General features: G+C 42.9%; 2 long non-coding RNA genes across 2 annotated transcripts in view, besides 1 other annotated feature; both read left to right on the top strand.

The window, feature by feature from the left end:
• LOC107985152 (uncharacterized) overlaps positions 1-20,604 on the top strand; it is a 55,307-nt gene that overhangs the window by 2,076 nt on the left and 32,627 nt on the right. The window lies entirely within an intron of this gene.
• On the top strand, positions 9,733-11,642 carry LOC124904303 (uncharacterized). Its single transcript, XR_007066372.1, has 2 exons — positions 9,733-11,146; positions 11,241-11,642. It is a non-coding gene; the product is annotated as an uncharacterized LOC124904303 (long non-coding RNA).
• Positions 18,606-18,900: an enhancer, noted in NCBI's record as "tiled region #5267; HepG2 Activating non-DNase unmatched - State 23:Low, and K562 Activating DNase matched - State 9:DNaseU". NCBI's record gives its function as "activates a minimal TATA promoter and a strong SV40 promoter by Sharpr-MPRA in HepG2 and K562 cells {active_cell/tissue: HepG2 | K562}" and the evidence as "EXISTENCE:reporter gene assay evidence [ECO:0000049][PMID:27701403]".

The following is a 20,604-nucleotide window of genomic DNA, read 5'->3' as shown; positions in this document are numbered from 1 at the left end:
GTTTTATTCTGCTAGTTCCATAAAAACAATGTAAACGCAAGCGTTCTGTACATCTTGCTGGTGAATTCACATAACGTTTAGTTTCCTGATCCTTGACCTCCTCGTCTTCTCCAGTTATTTTCTGTTTGGACTACTGGCCACAGGAGTGGAGTGGGATTGGGGCTTAGGAGAGACCAATGTGGCCTTTTGGTATGACTTGTTTTATTGCTTGCCCTCTCAGCACACTCCTGTTACTCCTAACACAAAGGTTGAGATTTAAGCCCTTAAACCTGTAGGTTTCACCGTCAGCTTTTTCTTTTTTTTCTTTTTTTTTGGCATAGGCATTACTAGGGACGTGAATGGGAGACTGGTATAGAAAGTGGTGAGGAGCCGAAGCCAACAAATTGCTTTAAACACAAGATGAAAATGCTCTGTTCTGTCCTCACGAAGAATCACCTAATACTGGTGTGAGGCATCTCACTTAGCTGTAGAAAAGTCCTTGGAATTAGATCTCAGATAGTTCCAGCTTTAAGACAGTAAAACCTTTTGGCAATGGGCTAATTGCCTTAAAGGAAAGAAGAGTTCTTACTTGAAAGACCTTGCAGGTGGAGAAATTGTCCTACAAAGATTCTTGGAAATGTTAGTGGAGATAACTGACATGGGTAGCTGTGGGACAACCAGGAACTGTCAACAGCCCGATCTCAGCAAAACCAGAACAGCCAGTTAATAGTTCTTCAGTTCTCTGATGGTCACAAATGTAATTTTATTTTATTTAGCCTTGTGGAGGTTCTGCAACAAATGTAATTTTAAAGGAATTGGGAGCCAGAAAGATAAATGCAACTCCTTCAACTATGTGACAGGGCAGACTGGTTAATCTGGGTTCCCAGAGTGTGGAGCAAGTGCCCTGTATCAGAGAACAGCCCAGGGGGAACTTGCATGATGCCGAACCCCACAGGACAGAACTACTTCCGGCAACTGTGTTTTCAACCTTCAGCTTCTTAGTGCCTGGAGGTGAGATAGGTTTCCTTCTTGCTTCTCAACATTGCTTCCAGGTCATCCCCCTCCTCCTCTAAACCGGCAGCTTTAAATCTTGCTGTCCGATACCTCTATCGCTGACCTCACCCCGCTTCATCTCTGCACAATTTGCTCCTGACATTCACTCCAATGCCACTTCTGTCCTAGTGGTAGGTGGTTATAAGATCTTCCCAGTACCCTGGCCTCTCAGTTCCTTTTCTTCTTCTCAAGGATCTTCTTCATTGCTTCAATTTTATGATCTTACAGTTTCTCTGGGTCAGGAGTCCAGGCGTTGCTTAGCTGGGTCCTCTACAAAGTGAGGCTGGGATAGCGGATCTGCTTCCAAGCTCATGTGGTTGTTGGCAGCATTCAGTTCCTTGCAGGCCTCAGGACTGATAGCCTCAGTCCTTCCTGGCTGTTGGCTGGAGACTCCCACTGTTCACCATTAACCTCAGGTAGACCCTTAGTGCTGTTCAGCAATTCTCTTATACTTCCCTGATCCACTCTTCTGGATTTTATACCTTCTCTGTCCTCTAACTTACACATCCTCCCCTTGATCATTCTAGATTTTGTACCTTCTCTAACTTCAAACTTGCACATATCCTAACTCAGCCACTTCCTCCCATGGTCATAATCACCGTAGCCTTATCAAACTCTGCAACTTCTTCATTATCTCAGTTTCAAACATCTCACACCCTGATCACTACCTCAGTTTTCCAGATCACTCCCTATAGTACTCTAACTGCAACAATTCTTGAACCCTCATATCTGCTGTCACCCAGCCTCAACCCCCAGCCAATCACAATCACTCTTACACATGCCCTCAGCCCCCTTGCCTTTTTTTCCCTTTGTTGTGCTTGCTTGGCAAAGCCACAACCCTGATTCAAGCTGGCACCCATGCATCTGAATGTGGCGAGAGAAGAACACAATCACACTGACTACCTTCACTTTAATTTCATCACCATGAACCTCAGATAGACCCTTAATGCTGTCCAGCAATTCTACTTCCCGCCTCCATTCTTCTGGATTTTGTACGTTCTCTGTCCTCTAAGTTGCATGTCCTCTCCTCAATCATTCTCAATTAATAGCCTTGTTTAGAAAATTGAAGCAATGAGAGAAAAAATTCCACAGAATCTCAGCATCACCCACACCCACATACCAGCCTCTACTTTGCCTTCCCCACCCTCACATGGTTGAATTGCCGTGCTCCTAGCTAAAGGAGTATTGTCACCAAGACATAGATTCCAGTACTATCTTGCCTAATCAAGATCCTCACTGTCACTCCAGCAATTATCCGCCTATTCTGTTTTATCAGTATTTCTCTACTGGGTCATTCTGATAAGCTTACAAGCAGCTGTGATTTTTCCAATCCTACAGATTCTTCTCTTTGACCTATTTCTACTGTCAGCTATCACCTATTTCTCTACTCCCTTTACAACAAAACTTCTAAAAGAGTTTTCTATACTTTGTCTGCAGTTCTTCTCCCATTCTGCAACAGCAGAATACATCCCATACAATACCATTTATACAAAGTTCAAAAACATGTCAAGCATGATACGTATGTTAAGACTCCATACATATGTAGTAGAATCATTACATGCGAGGTACACATGTGGCGTATTTTAGGTCATCAGCTGAGTGTTAGGTTTCCCATCCTCTCTTAAACTCCATTCATGCTTTCATCCTTACTACCGTATCAAAACCACTCTTGTGAAGGCCAACAAGGAACTTCACATTGGCTAAACCCAATGATCTAGTCTCGGTTCTCATCTTATCTGTAACAGCTGACACAGCTCATCACTTGATTCTCTTTTTTTAACCACATCCTCTTGGTTTTCCTCCTTCATTCGTGGTTCCTCCTTCCCTGTCTTCTTTGCTGGGTTCCATCTCTTCTCTCAGACCCCTTAACTGGGGCTTATTCCCTGAACTCTTTATTTTTTTGAGACAGAGTCTCTCTCTGTCACCCAGGCTGGAGTGCAGTGGCATGATCTCGGCTCACTGCAACCTCTGCCTCCCAGATTCAAGCAATTCTCCCTGCCTCAGCCTCCCAGGTAGCTGGGATTACAGGCGCCCACCACCACACCTGGCTAGTTTTTGTATTTTTCCGTAGACAGGGTTTCGCCTTGCTGGCCAGGCTGGTCTTGAACTCCTGACCTCAAGTGATCTGCCTGCGTCAGCCTCCCAAAGGGCTGGGATTACAGGCATGAGCCACTGCACCTGGTCCCTTGAACTCTTTTTAATCTATACTCATTTCCGTGATCTCATCCAGTCTCCTGACTTTCAGTACCATCTAAGATATATAATATCATCATATATGATGACAACTCTTAAATTTATATCTCCAGCTCGGATCTCTTACCTGAACTCCAGATTCTGATATCCTCAAACATGTCACAAACTGAGCAATATTCTCCCTCAAACCTGTTGAACCCACTAGCTTTCCAATCTCATTTGATAACTCTATTGTTCAAGTTGTTCAGACCAAAAACCCTGAGCAGTTTCACTTTAATTTCATCACCATGAACCTCAAGTAAATCCTTAGTGCTGTCCAGCAATTCTGGATTCCCCTCGTTTTCTCACACCCATGTCTAATCCACAGAGCATCCCTAACCACCTCCACTGCTGCTCCCTGGTCTGAGCCACCATCATCTCATCTTTGGATTCATCTTCTAAAAGCTCTCCCTGTTCTCATGCTTGCCTCTTCCCAACATAATAGCTAGAGAGATCCTTTTAAAATAGAAGTCAGGGCCAGGCACAGTGGCTCACGCCTATAATCCCAGCACTTTGGGAGGCCAAGGCGGGCAGATCACGAGGTCAGGAGATTGAGACCATCCTGGCTAACCCGGTGAAACCCTGTCTCTACTAAAAATTACAAAAAAATTAGCCGGGCGTGGTGGCGGGCGCCTGTAGTCCCAGCTACTCGGGAGGCTGAGGCAGGAAAATGGCGTGAACCCAGGAGGCGGAGCTTACAGTGAGTGGAGATCGCGCCACTGCACTCCAGCCTGGGTGACAGAGCAAGACTCCGTCTCAAAAAAAAAAAAAAAAAAGTCAGACATCTGCACTCTGCTTAAATCCCTGCATTAAATGATCCTCATTTCATTTAGAGTAAAAATCTACATCCTTACAATAGTCTAAAGGGTTCTATAAGATCAGCATCACCACTCCACCCTGAGCATTACTTCTCTAATCTCATTTCCTATCAGTCATTCTCCAATATGTCCTAACCTTCCCGACCTCTTTTCTTGTCCCTAGAAGATGCCAGCCATGCTCCCAAGTTAGGGCCTCTGCACTGGCTGTGCCCTCTGCCTTGTACATGTTTCCCCCAGATATCTGCATTGCCAACTCTCTCACCTCCTTTGGTCAAAAGTTACCTCATTGAAGCCTATCTTGACCTTTTAAAAATCACAGCCCATTCTTAACTCTCACAGTACACCCAAAGCCCCTTTACCCTGCTTTCTGTTTTACTATAGCACTTCTGACATACTATATGATTTACTTATGTGTTGTGTTTATTGTTTATTGCCTATTACCCCCCGCTAGAATGTAAGCTCCATGAGGGCAAGGATTTATCTGTAGTGTTTACCAGTGTATCCCAAGTGCCTAGAGTAGCTATTGACACGTAGGAGGTGCTCAATAAATATTTGTTGAATGAATGAACAAGGTGTTTGTGCTTCTATCCATAGAAGTGAAAACTAGGATTAGGTTTGACCCAATTCTATTTCATTCAGCAAAAATATCCTTTAATTTTAATAGATACCAAAATATGTAATATTTTATGTTGTTTAGATCAATTAGATATTAAAATTATACAATCAAAATGAGCTTTTTAAGCTTATCAGACTCAGTCAAGAATTTTTTTAAAAAAATTTTTTTGTAGGGAAATATGATAGGTTGATCAATAAAAGACTCTCCAGCTTAAAATATTATATTAAAATATTGAGGGGTAAGTGGAATGGAAATACAAGATAAGAAAAAAAAAGTGATGTAAAATTTACTTTAAAGAAAAGCTTGTTCATATATTTTTTAAATGGTTGATAGATGCATTATGATCTTTAAATTTCCTTGGATACGTTTAAAGAATGATGTAACAATCTTATTTTAAAATGCCAATACTTACGCCAGAAATAACAAACCTTACTATTATTTAAACTTGTGATGAAACATTTTAGATATGACCTTTAAAAGTTCAAGAAGAAACAGTTTTAGCCAGGCGTGATGGCTCATGCCTGTAATCCCAGCCACTCAGGAGGCTGAGGTGAGAGGATTGCTTGAGCCCAGGAGTTTGAGGCTGCAGTGGGCCGTGATCATGCCACTGCACTCTAGCCTAAGTGACAGAATGAGACCCTATCTCTTATTTTAAAAAAAAGGACGGAAGGAAGGAGAGAGAAAGAAAGAAAAAGGAAAGAAAGGAAGGAAGAAAAAAACACAGTTTTTCAAATTTCTTTTAGGAGAAAAGCAAGCAAGAAATCTTGAAGACCATAGTTCCAAAGCACTCAAAGGGAGCCAAGCTACTGCCAGTTCCACATAGATCTCTGATAGGCGCAGGCAAAGACTTGAAAGGTTTATTTTCCTTTTGTTTTATTTAATGGTTTTACCTCCTATGAATAGGAGCTTTCTAAGGGTGAGGAGAATATAGAAGTTTAATCTTTTCATCCTTGGGATGGAGACAGAGTGCTCTTCCCTCAAGTAAAGGACCTCCTGGCACAAGTTAGCATCATGATATTTTAGTGTCAACCCAATGTTTTGGGTTTGGTTTGGTTTTGTTTTTTAGAGATGGAGTCTTGCTGTGTTGCCTTGGCTGGACTCAGACTCCTGCGTTCAAGTGATCCTCCTGCCTCAGCCTTCTGAGTAGCTGGGGACTACAGACATGCACCACTGCACCCAGTTTAATCCAGTGATTTTTAAAATAATTCCAGTTGCTCCTGAAAATTACTTGACATCAATTAACCTAAATATTACAAGTGATTCCCACATTCCTAAAAGCAATAAAATAAACTCTGTCATCTCTTTGGCTTAAAGTATACAGCCATAGAAATGTATTACCTATTCAAAATATTAGATTGAAACTGGATTCAAACTTGAGATTCAAAATGACTGGAATCCAGGCTGTGTCTGGAATATTCTTGTTCCTGTCCTTTAGGACTCAGTGGTCCTCTAGGAATGGTGCCCTGCTGTGTCAGAGTTGGCTGCCCTTTCTTTCTGCTCCCAGACTAGGCTGTGAGTTCCCTGAAGATAGAGGTTCTCCTTCCCCCACGTTCTCTGAGTGCCCAACACTGGGCTTGCCCATGGCAAGTGTCAGAGAAGCGAGAGATGAGGCTGGGAAGATGGATCTGGGGCCAGACAACGAAGGTAGCTGTGCTGATGAATTGAACTCCATTCAGGACCAGATATGCTTGGGATTTTTTCTTCTTTTTTTAAAATCTTATTGAGGTATAATTTACATATTATAAACTCGACGCAGTGGACAATTTGATGCATTTGGGCAAATATATGCAATGTGTAACCACCACTACCAATCAAGTATTAGAACACCTCTATCCCTCCAAAAAGTTCCCTTATGCCCCTTTGCAGTCAGTGCCACCTCCCAACCATATGTTCCTGTCCCCAGGCAACCACTGCCATGCTGTCTGTTCCTAAGGCATTTTTTCTAGAATTTCACATAAATGGAATATTTCCATGTGCAGTCTTTTGTATTTGGGTTCTTTCACTCAGTATGTTGTTTTTGAGATCCAGAATGTTACTGTGTATCAGTAGTTAGTTCCTTTTTATTGCTTAGTAGTATTTCATTTTATGTATATGCAAAGCCACAGAAACAGAGGTAGATTAACAGATCGGTGGTTGTCAGGGGAATTGGGAGGTACAGGGTTTCTTCATGAGGTGATGGAAATGTTGTGGAATCGGATAGTGCTGAGAGTTGTACAACATTGTAAATATACTAAGAGACACTGAATGTACACTTTGAAATGGTTAAAATGGTGAACTCTAGGAAAATTTTATGTTTAAAAAGCTAGATTTTAGCAAGCACCACAAGCATGTTACTAAGCGAATAATCTTTGCAGTCTCACTGACTTGATTCAAGTCCCCATGTCACTCCTTACTAGCTATGAGACCTTGGACAAATGATTCTAAGTCTCAGATTCTTCTTCTGTGAAGTAGGGGTAAAAATACAGCCCATCTCACAGAGCTGCAGTAAAAACGAAATGAGACAATGCACTTGAAGCACTTGGCATGGCGCTGACAAGTGCCTGATCAGTGGCAGCTTCTTGTTTAATCCACCTGCGCCTGCCATGTGTCAAGCCCATTACGTGTCTTCATCTATTTGATTCAACATGAAGGAGGGACTATTCCCAATTTACAAGTGATGAAACTGAACCGTTAAGAGATTAAAAAGTTACTTGTCCCCATATTGAGGGACATTCTGTAACATAACTAGTCTATAATTTTCAAAAATGTCAATATCATAAAAGACAAAGCCTGAAAAACTGTTCCAGATCAAAGGAGACTAAATACACAGGACAAGTAAATGTCATACATGATCCTGAATTGAATCTGGGGAAAATTTTTGCTACGAAGGACCTTATTGGGACAATAGACATGATTGGAAAATAGCTTATAGATTAGACTATAGGTATATAATAGATTATAGATTAGATATAATAGACTATAGATTAGATAATAGTAAGGTTTCCTGATTTTGATAACTGTAGCATGCAGGCCAGAACTAGGGCGAGACAACAGAGGCTCCTAGGGTACAAAGTTGAAGGAAGCCCTCTTGAAGGGCCACTCACGCTCAGGCCTTGTTAGCCTCCATCTAGTTCTAGCCCTGGTGTTGTCGTTATGTAGGAAAATGTCCTTGTTTTCAGAGCTACACACTGAAGTATTGAGGGTAAAGACATGCCAGTATATGCAATTAACTCTCCAAGAATTCAGGAATAATCATCATACATAGGTAGAGCGAAAAAAATGATAAAGTATACACTGCAAAATGTTAATAGTTGGTGAGTCTAGGTAAAGTATTTACAGAAGTTCTTTGTACTATTCTTTTTTTTTTTTTTTTTTTTGAGATGGAGTCTCGGTCTGTCACCCAGGCTGGAGTGCAGTGGCACGATCTCGGCTCACCACAACCTCCGCCTCCCGGGTTCAAGCCATTGTCCTGCCTCAGTCTCCCAAGTAGCTGGGATTACAGGTGTGTGCCGCCACGCCCAGCTAATTTTTTTTATTTTGAGTAGAGACAGGGTTTCACCATGTTGGCCAGGCTGGTCTTGAACTCCTGACCTCGTGATCCACCCATCTCGGCCTCCCAAAGTGTTGGGATTACAGGCATGAGCCACCATGCCCGGCCCTTTGTACTATTCTTGCGACTTTTCTGTGAGTTTGATTTTTTTTTTTTTTAATTTTAGGTCACTTGTCCCTGTGATGAGGTTCACAGCAGAGCTGGAATTTGAACTCTCTGCCCACAGAGTGTGGCATGGTGCTATCTGCAACCCAAATAGCTCTACCCTGAAGCCAGGGCCTGGGAGGGCCTGCTGATCAGATGCCTCAGAGCAGCATTTCTCCTACTTTAACATGCACACAGATCACTTGGGGAGCATGTTAAAAAGTAAATCCTGATTCCTTGGATTTGAGGGTGGGCTGGAGACTCTTCATTTCTAATAAGCTCTCAAGTGAGGCCAATACCGCTGGTTCCAGAGGCAAAGCCCTAGAATCCAGGGTCTAGAACTGTGTAGGACCTAAATCTAAAATGTACTGGGGAGGGGAATAATGGAACACTAAATTATTTAGGAGACAGTTCACAGTCATGATTCTACCCACCTAAAATGCTTTGTGATGAAAGTTAAATTTTCGGACATCGTTTCCGTTGAATAAACATGTAGAGTGAGCCTACTGGTTGCCATATCTTAGAATGCAGAATTGAATGGCAATGGATATGAACTGAAACACAGTTTATCCAGTCTTTCCCTTCCCCCAGTAGACGCCAGATCAGACTTACATCTAGACAGATTTTAGTCCCTCAGGTGAACTTGGCATCTAACGGTTTTCCTCAGTGTCACAGGTACAAGAGAGAACATCACAAGCAGGGAGTGCTGGAAATGACAAGTTCATCCAAAACAAACCTGCCAGGCACGGTGGCTCACGCCTGTAATCCCAGTACTTTGGGAGGCCGAGGCAAACCATTTGAGGTCAAGAGTTTGAGACTGGCCTGGCCAACATGGCAAAACCTCGTCTCTGCTAAAATACAAAAATTAGCCAGGCATGGTGGTATGTGCCTGTAATCCCAGCTACTCAGAAGGTGGAGGCAGGAGAAGCGCTCGAGCCAGGGAGGTGGAGGTTGCACTGAGCTGAGATTGCACCATTGCACTCCAGCCTGGGCTACAGTGCTATGGTGTCATTTCAGTGATAAAAGTTAATGAATATCTGTGTTACTTTCAACTCTGAGGAGGAAAACAATCTACCTAAACACCACCAAATTATTTCCATATTCTTTAAGCATTTTTCTTATTTATTTATTTATTTTTTTTTGAGAGGGAGTCTCACTCTGTCACTCAGGCTGGAGTGCAATGACATGATCTCGGCTCATTGCAACCTCCACCTCCCAAGTTCAAGCAATTCTCCTCCCTCAGCCTCTTGAGTACTTGGGATTACAGGTGCTCACCACCACACCTGGCTAATTTTTGTATTTTTTAGTAGAGATGGGGTTTCACCGTGTTGGCCAGGCTGGTCTTGAACTCCTGACCTCAGGTGATCCGCCCACCTCGGCCTCCCAAAGTGCTGGGATTACAGGCATGAGCCACCGTGCCCGGCCTCTTTAAGCATTTTTCTTGGGAGACAACCTTGAGGAAAAATAATTTTAGCTTAGACCAGAATCACAGTTACTATTTTTTTTTAAACTTTTAAGAATAATCAAGAGTTACCTTTTTGAGGTAAGAATTAGGCCCAGCAGATGGGTATTGAAGAGAGAAGGAGACTGTGAGCGCTTGGGTGAGCACAGACCTCATGTCTGCTCCTCAGGACAAACTGTGTGTAAGGGGCAGAGAAGGGAGGGGATTCCAAGACCCAGCCCCTCCTCCAAGGAAAGATGGAAAATCCATCACTGCTCTGAGGCTCCCAGAACACTCGCCCCTCTAATGTCTGCTGTCCCTTTCTCCCAGAGCTGCTGCTGCCTCTCTGCTTTTCCTTCCTCCCCTTTCCTTTCCCTAGCCGACTTTTGCTTCCCTGGCACTTCTGACATGCTTCTCCCAGCTGCTGCCCTTGAACTGCGGCCCCCTTCCTTCCCTCTGTGCTGTACCACCCAGGGGAGCCGGCTCCCAGGATGAGCTGCAGCACAGTGCTTTCTCAGGTTGAGGGAGCCTCCTCCAGGGCTCGGGTACCAAGGCATCTACATCTTTAATCAGGAAGGAAATAGCACCACATAACCCTGGGCATAGGTGTTTCCCTCCCTCCTCCTTTTCAGGGAGGCTGGTTCCCAGGTCACCTCCTACCTGGTTCAACAATAACATCCCCCATCTTTAAGAAAAATGCTGTGGTTCAAAAGCCCCTCTGGGCCCAGCTGCCTTCCCCAGTACACAGATCATCTCCATTGCCAGGGAGCTGCAAAGTGGCTCTGCACTTGCCAGAGGCTACACTGGTTAGTTAGAATGCGGGTCCTGACTGCAGGCCTAACCACAGTCCACAAAAGCTCCCCAGAGAGTGTTCTTTGTTGGTAGGTTTGAAACAAAGGCCCAGGAATGCGGCTTACACAGTCCTGACCCTACAGCTGGCCCTCCATCCTCACTGCTCTCCCAGGAGAAGATGGGAACTGGCTTCTTCAGCCAAGGACAAAGCCACGGTGGACAATCGCAGACCCAGGCCCAAGGTTTGCCCTGTCTCCTGCCTCCATCTTTACAAATCTCATGCATGAGGCCAACTCCCCTCCTACTGATGACTCCATCTCCTCCGTTGATCTCATCCAAACAACCTCAAGGCACTCCACTGGCACTTGATTTTGTAGTCTTGTGTGTATACATTCCACTTCATTATGAGACGGTAGATAGAGGCTAAGACAATGGATGAGCTTTGAAGTCAAATGGACAAGCATTCAAATCCTGGCTCTATCTCTGTGCCCTCCTGGCAAGTTACTGAACCTGTCTCACCTTCAGTTGCTTCGGCTATAAAAGTAGGTATAACACTTGTTCAAATTTTTCTTTTCCTAAGATTTAAATGAAAATTCTCATCCAACAAAAATTTATTGAATTTCTACTCTTTGCCAGGCACTGCTCTAGATGGAGATACAGCGTGAGACAAATTTCCTGGTCCTTAAAGAACTTATTAAATACATTCTTTTTTTTTTTTTTTTTTTTTTTTTTGAGACAAAGTCTTGCTCTGTCACAAGGGTGGACTGCAGTGGCGCGATCTCAGCTCACTGCAACCTCTGACTCCCTGGTTCAAGCGATTCTCCTGCCTCAGCCTCCCAAGTAGCTGGGATTACAGGCACGTGCCACAACGCCCAGCTAATTTTTGTATTTTTAGTAGAGACAGGGTTTCACCATGTTGGCCAGGATGGTCTCAATCTCCTGACCTTGTGATCCACCCACCTTGGCCTCCCAAAGTGCTGGGATTACAGGCGTGAGCCACTGTGCCCGAACTTATTAAATACATTCTTTATAAAGACACATACATGCATATGTTTGTTGGTGCATTATTCACAATAGCAAAGACATGGAATCAACCTAAATGCCCATCAGTAATAGACTGGATAAAGAAAATGTGGTATATATACACCATGGAATTCTATGCTGTCATAAGAATGAACAAGATAATGTCCTTTGCAGGGACGTGGATGGAACTGGAGGCCATTATCCTTAGCAAACAGATGCAGGAACAGAAAATTAAATACTGCATGTTCTCACTTATAAGTGGGAGATAAATGATGAGAACACATGGATACATGGAACCACACGCACTGGGGCCTGTCAGATGAGACGGGATGAGAGGAGGGAGAGGATCAGGAAGAACAGCTAATGGATGCTGGGCTTAATACCTGGGTGACGGGATGATCTGTGCAGCAAATCACCATGGCACATGTTTACCTATGTAACAAACCTCCACATGCTGCGCATGTACCCAGGAACTTAAAAGTTAGAAATGAAAAAAAAACAAACTTACATTCTAGTGGGTGATACATATGATTAACATGTGGCCAAACAGATAATATAATATTAAAGTGATAATTGCAATTTTATTAAAAAAAAAAAAGACCATAGAGAATTAGATTGGGGGAGGAGGTGGAGTACTATTTTAGATAGGGCAATCAGGAGAGGTTCTCTGAGAGGGTGACATTTGAGTAGGGACCTGAATGATGGAGAGAGCTATGCAAAAATCTGGAGAGAGCTGATGTTAAGATCCTGAAGCAGAACTAAGCTCAGTGTATTCACATGACAGAAGTAAGGTCAACACAGTTAGGGCAGGATAAGAGAGGAGTGAAGTAGGAGGTGAGATGGGAGAGAAAATACATGTGGAAGAGGCTCCATAAATATTCTTTTTTTTTTTTTTTTTGGTGAGACAGAGGCTCTATCACCCAGGCTGGAGTACAGTGGCACGATCTTGGCTTATTGCAGCCTCTGCCTCCTGGGTTCAAGTGAGCACATCCAGCTAATTTTTTGTATTTTTAGTAGAGATGGGGTTTCACCATGTTGTCCAGGCTGGTCTCAAACTCCTGACCTCAAGTGATCCACCTGCCTCAGCCTCCCACAGTGCTGGGATTACAGGTGTGAGCCACCACACCTGGCCCGGAAAAAACTGGAAACAATCCAAATGTCCATTCATAGGTGAATGGATGAACAGATTGTGGTAAATTCATTCAGTGGATGTTTTAGTCCATTCTGCGTTGCTATAGCGGAATACCTGAGACTGGGCACTTTATAAACAATAGAAATTTATTTGGTTCACGGTTCTGGATGCTGGGGAGACTAAGAGTATAGCAGCAGCATCTGGTGATGGCCTTTGTGCTTCAACATAACATTACCTCTTAATGCCATCACAATGACAATTAAATTTCAACATGAGTTTTGGGGAGACATTCAAAACCATAGCAATGAAACACTACTCAACAATAAAAATGAAATGAGTTACTGACACATTCAAAAACATGGTGGTTGGGCCACCCAATTGGGGCATCTATATATTATATGCAGTTAAGTGATTAGTTATGCTTATATAATATTTATAGTTTGGAATATTTATGTTGCACTTGTGGTGTTAACTAACCATTCCTGTGGTGCTGAAGCAGCATCACTGTCTGGGGTAAACACCTGGGGTTCATTGTCTCGTGCTGAGAAGATTAAGGACACGGACACACAAGGAGTGAATTTGGAAGCAGAGGTTTAATAGCCAAAACAAAGAGAAAGGAGAGCAGCTCTCTTTTGTGAGAGAGAGAGGCATTGTCTGAAGGGGAAAAGCTGGCCTGCAGCAGACTGCAGCAGATTTTATAGGCAGGCTTGAAGAGGTGGTGTCTGATTTATGAAGGCCCCACAGATTGGTTCGACCAGGTGTGATGTTCACATGGCACAAGGAGACGGCTGGTTGCCCCACCCCAATCTTATTATGCAAATGGGCTGTCCACTTGGCCAGTGCCATCTTGTCTGCTTCTTACTGTACACATGGCTAGCAAAGAGAAGGAAATATGGAGCTACCATTTTAATCATGCCTAGTCCCAGGTAGCCTTTTCCTATTGGCACAACTGCCAGCATTCACCCATGCAAGCTTCCAGCTTGCTTGTCTATGCCTGCAGCTCGATTTTACAGGCTGCTCTTTGTTAGAAAAGAAATGATTTGGGGGCTGCTTTTCATTAAAAGAAAAACCTTACCAAGGACTTTCTTACCTTCACAATCTGCCTAAGTAATTTCTTTTTAACTCCTTTATCAGTGTTTCTCAAATTTACCTGATAATAATTACCTGGTGCAGGCCGGGCGCAGTGGCTAACGCCTGTAATCCCAGCACTTTGGGAGGCCGAGGTGGGTGGATCACCTGAGGTCGGGAGTTCGAGACCAGCCTGACCAACATGGAGAAACCCCATCTCTACTAAAAATACAAAACCAGCCAGGCATGGTGGCACATGCCTGTAATCCCAGCTACTCGGAAGGCTGAGGCAGGAGAATCACTTGAACCCAGGAGGCAGAGGTTGTGGTGAGCCAAGATTGCGCCACTGCACTCCAGCCTGGGCAACAAGAGCAAAACTCTGTCTCAAAAAAAAATAACTACCTGGTGCAGTAGGCTAAATAATGGCCCCACTATGTCCATGTCCTAATAAACCTTGGAACATGTGAATGTTACCTTGAATAGTGTTTTTGACTGTTTTCTGTTGCTATAACAGAATACCTGAGGCTGGGTAATTTATAAATAAAAGAAATTTATTTCTCACACTTCTGGAGTCTGGAAAGTCCAAGAGCACGGCACTGGCATCTGCTCAACTTCTGATGAGGGTTTTCATGGTGAAGGGCATCACATGGCAAAAGACCACAGGCATGCAAACTCAAGTCTCTCTTCCTCTTATAAAGCCACCAGTCCCATCATAGGAGCCCCATCCTGATGACGTCATCTAGTACTAATTACCTCCCCAAATCTCTGCCTCCAAATAGCATCAAGATATGAATTTGGGGATTTAGTTTTCAACACATGAAATTTGAGGGACACGTCCCAACCATATAGCATATGGCAAAAGGGAGTTTGCAGATGTGACTGAGTTAGGATCTTGAACTTGGAGATAATGCTGGATTATCCAAGTGGACCCAATGTCCAGTGGTTCTTATAAAAGGAGCACAGAAGGAGTCAAAGTTTGAGGAGAAGGTGATGTGATTATAGAAGCAGTAACTGGAGTGATGCTCTTCAAAGATGGTGGACCAGGACACAGCCAGCCACCAGAAGCTGAAAAAGGCAAAGAAATGGATTCTCCCCTCAGAGCCTCCAGAAGAAACCTCCTGTCAACACCTTGACTTTAGCCTAGTGAAACCAATTTTGGGTTTCTGACCTCCAGGACCATAATAAATCCATGTTGTTTTAAGCCACTGAATTTGTGGTAATTTGTTACAGTGGCAATAGGAAACTAATACACCTGCGGTACTTGCTAAATATACAAATTACCATCCTTCTCCTATATAAATTCTTATTATGGAGGTCTAAGCTGGGAGCCAAATAATTGTTTTTTAACAAGGGTCCAGGGGATGTTTATCTTCAGGTCAATTTGGGAACTGTTGCTGTAGTGAACTGGGATAGCTCAGCCGAATTCTTTACCACTTTTCTGGTGACAGACTTCATCTGCTTTGGCTACAAGTGTGGAGACATAACCAAGGATTGGCCAGTCCTGGCACTCCATTGCCCTAGAGCTTGAGACTGGTTCACGGGCAGACATGTGGCCCACACTGACCAATCACAATCCTTCTCTAAGACATCATACATGGAAGCCATCAGAGAAACATTTTCTTTCTTTGTGCTGGGATTTGGTTTGACAGTGGTACCCCAGCATGGAGTATTGGCCTGCCACTGCTGGCAGTCAACTTCTCTGACTACATCGAGGAAGGTCATTTGCAGTAGGAAAGAAGATAATAAACAAGAAAACGGAGTAGAAATCCAGAAGGAGAGAGAGGGAAAACCCTACTCTCCTTTGAGCCTCAGATCCAATTGCATTTGATGCTGGTACCATCCCTGTTTTTTTGACCTATGAGAATCAATACATCTTATTATTTTTCAAGCTCATTGAATTGGTTTCAGTCTCTTGAAATATATGGACTCCTAACTCTCACACTGGGGTGTTATCTGGAGTGGGAGGGGAATAAATTTTTTACATTGTCTGGCTTTCTTTTCTCCCATTTCTATGTACAACATCAACTGCTTCATATTTGTCTATGCCAGTTTACACTAGTCTGATCAGAATGTATATACTAAAAAAAAAGAATTTATATAGTAATTGTGTAAAAATTTTAGTCACTCTCTCTCCACCACTCACACTAACTCCTTACAGTATAAACGTTTTCTGCCCCAACCGCATAGTCCCCAGCATCTGTATGTTCAGGCTGATTCTCTTTTCTGCTTCTAACTCCCGCTCCCTCCCATCTATTCAATGACAAGAAATTCTGGAGCTGTGGCTCTCTTCCAATAAAAACAAACTGTAAAACTCCTATGATTGCTTTTGTGCAAAGTACTACCTACAAAATATCTTCTGTGGTTATATTATATGGAGTTTTATAGGCATCTTTAGCTTGAAATTTAAGGAGCAAGGATATTCAGTGTTGACTGGGAGATTCTCTCCCATTATTTGAGTTACTTCATTGATGATTCTTTCTTGTCTTTCAATTCCAAAGTTTATCAGCTGTAGCAGATGCAGCTAAATATCGTTTTCTGCAACATTTGCCTGATATAAATCCTCCTTGCCAGGGGGGTGGCTCTATAACATTTACAAATTGGGATTAAGCATATGAGACCCATACCTTGCTGAAGGCTCACAACAGACCACCATTGGTAAGGTTCTTTGTAGAGTCAGGCTGTAAATATTGGTGGAAGAAAATAAAAATTCCTAACACTTTCCTCTACCAGTAAAGTAAAAAGGGCACTGGGCTAGCAGTGAAGAAACCCAAGTATGATCTTGGCTCTGCCATTTGTTACCATGTAGTAAACTTAGGCAAGTCAGTTAAAACCTCTAGGTTCTAATATCTTCATCTATAAAATGGAATTCATGATACTTCCATGCCTGCTTACTTCACTGAGTAGTTGTAAGAATTAAATAACGTATACAAATGTAAGGTGTTATTTTGCACTATACAAATATAAGGTGTAATTATGATGCCTTAGTCCTAGACATCTTTATTTATCTTTATTGGATTGTGACTATTCTACTTACCAAGATGGAAAAAAGTGAATTGCTTCTCATAAGCTAATCTATTTAATATCCATATGTTATGAATTAGGAATTATGCAAGCCCATGTATAGCATAGTAGCAAATTTGGAACATCAGTTAGGATACTACTATATGCAAAGGATTGACAGTCAAAGTATGGAAACACATAATAATGTAAATAGATGCTATACATTTCTGCAAAACATGCCTAAAAATGGTCTTTAGCATATGCTTTCAAACTCTCTCTGGATTACAGCTTTCAAACACAACAAAAAACCTAATGGATTTGGACCAGAGATCTTTAAAACCTCCTCCACCCCCACAACTATCTTTATTTAGTACTAAATTTAGAGCAGATGGAGAAACCAGCAAGCAAGACAATGCTACATCTGCTAATATATTAATACTGCTGAGCTGAGCAACTAGAAAAATCTTGAGTGGTCTGTACGTGTTAGCAGAGCTACAAATAATGCAAGGCTCCTGCTTTTGAGGAATTTATAATTTATATGATTTAGACATAGTGTTGTTAGCTAACATTTATTGAGGATTTACTATGTGTTGGGCACTATTCTAACTGCTTTACTCAAATGGACTCATTTAATCTTCCTAACAACCCTGTAAAATAAATAGTTATATTATCCAGTCTACAGGAAGACACTGAGTCTCACAGAGATAAAGTGACTTTGCCCAAGATCACCTGGCTAGTAACACAATTGGGATTCCAAAGCTCACACTCCCAACCATATGCTAAACTGCTCCTTTAGAAAGCCACAGATAGGGCCAGGCACAGTGACTCACTCATGTCTGTAATCCCAGCATTTTGGGAGGCTGAGGTGGGAGGATGGCTGGAGCCCAGGATTTCAACACCAGCCTGGGCAACATAGCAAGACCTCATCACTACTTAAAAAAATTAGCTGGGCATGGTGGTGCACACCTGTAGTCTCAGCTACTTGAGAGGCTGAGGCAGGAGGATCGCTTGAGTCCAGGAGTTGGAGGCTGCAATGTGCTATGACCATGCCTCTGCACACCAGCTGGGGTGATAGAGCAAGACCCCATCTCAAAAAAAAAAAAAGAATTAAAAAAAGAAAGACACAGGAAGAAATAGAATGTCCTATGACTTCATTTCATACTTACCTAGTATTTATTATTTTTTAGAAGGGCAACCTACCCCAGTTAGAATGTTCTACAGGTCTGTATCATAGCACTTATGGTAACCCTTGCATACAGTAGGTGCTCAGTTAATATATATATTGATTTGATGACCAACAATATTATTTTAGAGCCTTAGGTTGCTTTGAACCTAGAATTATCACAAGAACTTAAAGCAGCTGATCAGTGTCATGACACATGTCAGATCTCTGAATTCCGGCAAGTCCCGTGTCCAATACATGTGTTCAGACTGCATTGCCATTACCATCTTCCCTTCTGCTTTCTCCGTGAAGGTTGTAAGTTCCTTGAGGGCAAGGATAGTGTCCAGGTCATCACTACATCCTCAGTGAACAGCCTGGTGCCCGGTGCATATTAGTGAGGAGTTTTAATCATGAGTAACAGGAGCTCAGCTGGTATTTGTTAAAGCAGAAAAGGAAGTTGGAAGGATGCTGGGAAACTCCTAGGTTCCAGCATCCTGGAACTGCAGGAAGAGCTGCAGGAAGCAGAGGAGCTCCAGAAACTGGACCCAGGGCTCCATGCTGCTGGGACTTTCAAGCCATCTCTTTCTCTGCTAGGGAAAAACACATCCCTCAGAGCCCTTAATTCACAGCCTTCTAGCTCAATAATGTGACACATGTCAAGGGGCTACTTCCTCTTCCCTAACTCCAGTGAGAATGATCTTGAGGAAGTCATGGATTGGCCAAGCTTAGGTGGTGAGCTCATTTCTGACTAATCATCTGGAGCACACCACTTGGCCATACCTAGAGTGTGTGCTTATCCCTGGGGATAAGTGGAGTGTGGGATTAGGGTAAGAATGATGTGGAAGCATGCCAGGTAGCCAAAATAGTAGCTGTCACACACCAGTAGGTAACTGAGGTAACTGATAATTGAGGATATGGGCTGGGAATGTGGAGTGAATTATTTCCTTAAAAAGTTGATTCCATATTGAAAAATAATAAGGCTTCCTTGTTATTCAACTTATATTCATTCATTCAACCAATAGTTTTTAAGTGTCTTATCAAGGGCCAGGCCTAGTTTTAGGTGCCAGGTATACTTACAGGAGACAAAACGGTCCCTATCCTCCTGAATTTCCATTCTAAAGGAGGGAGACTGGCAATTAACAAACAAATGTGCAAACACAGAATATGTCAGCTGGTAGTGTTATGAGAGTAATTAAAGCACGGTAAAGAGAATAGAAAGTGCAGAAGGGGGTTGCTGCTTTTTACAGAGAGAACAGGGTAGGTTGCTTTGATGAGGTGACATTTGAGCAGACACCTGAAGATGAGAAGGTGAGCTCTGTGGACAGCTGGGGATGGAACATTTCAAGCACAGGAAGGAGCAAGTGGAAAAGCTGTACAGTGGGCACTGGCATGGTACAAACAAGAGTAGTAAGGAGGCAGAAAGAGAGGGGAGGTCAAAGGCAGTGAGGTCAGAGCTTCAAGGCTTCCCTGAGCCTGGGCAGCTGTTGTTGGGGTTGTGGAGAATTCTAGATGGGGTCAGGGGAGCCAGGCTGCAATCTGGAGGTATTCTGTGTAAGCATGTGTGATAATTTGCCTAAAGAGAGATCAGAAGAAAGGGACCAGAATTTCCAAGAATCCAATAAATTGTTGTGATTTATTTTCTCAATCTAAATTCACATTCAATTCTGAACCTGTATTAGGAGTTCTCCAGAGGGATAGAGCCAATAGGATATGTGTATATATAAAAGCGAGTTTATCAGGGAGAATTGGCTCACATGATAGCAAGGGGAGGTCCCACAATAAGCCATCTGCAAGCTGGAAAAAGACAGAAGCTGGGAGTGTGGCTCAGTCCAAGTCCAAAAGCCTCAAAAGCAGGGAAGCCAATAATGCAGCCCTTAGTCTGAGGCTGAAGGCCCAAGAGCCCCCAGGAGCCACTGGTGGGGTTCCCAGACTTCAAAGGCTGAAGAACCTGGAGTCTGATGTCCAAGGATAGGAGGAGAGTAAGCAAGCATCCAGCACATGAAGAGAGAGAGCAAGGAGACTCAGCAAGCTGCTTTGTCCCCCTTCTTCTGCCTGCTTCGTTCCAGCCTCTGTTGGCAGCTGATTGGATGGTGCCCACCCACACTGAGTCCCAGTCCAACAACTGAAATGTCAATCTCCTCTGGCAACACCTTCACAGACACAACCAGAAACAATGCTTCCCCAGTCATGTAGGCATCCCTCAATTCAATCAGGTTGACATCTCTATTAACCATAACAAGTCCACCCCTTGTCAACTTGGCACTCACACACACCTTCTTAAATCATACTTATCTCCAAATAAAGACAATAACAAGGTCATAATTCCACCCAACATAATGTAACTATCCTTTGTACAATTGAAAATGCACTAATCCTTAACTTAAATACTATTACATAAAATTAACAACACTTAAATGCTGATGTGACGTCAGTAAATCTTATGTTACATCATAAAGGAACAAGAAAAGACAAAGATATCTGCTTAATACAAGTGTATATATGCACAAATGTATTATTAACAAAATAAGGAGAGAATACTCATGACAATTACAGTCCTCGTTTCTGAAATGGGTCATGTAGTGGCAGCTGGTATTGATAACTGTAAAGTTAGCCGA

Source organism: Homo sapiens, chromosome 18 (genome assembly GCF_000001405.40).
Source record: "Homo sapiens chromosome 18, GRCh38.p14 Primary Assembly".
NCBI classification, from domain to species: domain Eukaryota; kingdom Metazoa; phylum Chordata; class Mammalia; order Primates; family Hominidae; genus Homo; species Homo sapiens.
Note: the sequence above shows the minus strand (reverse complement) of the source record. Positions and strands in the feature narration are given on the sequence as shown.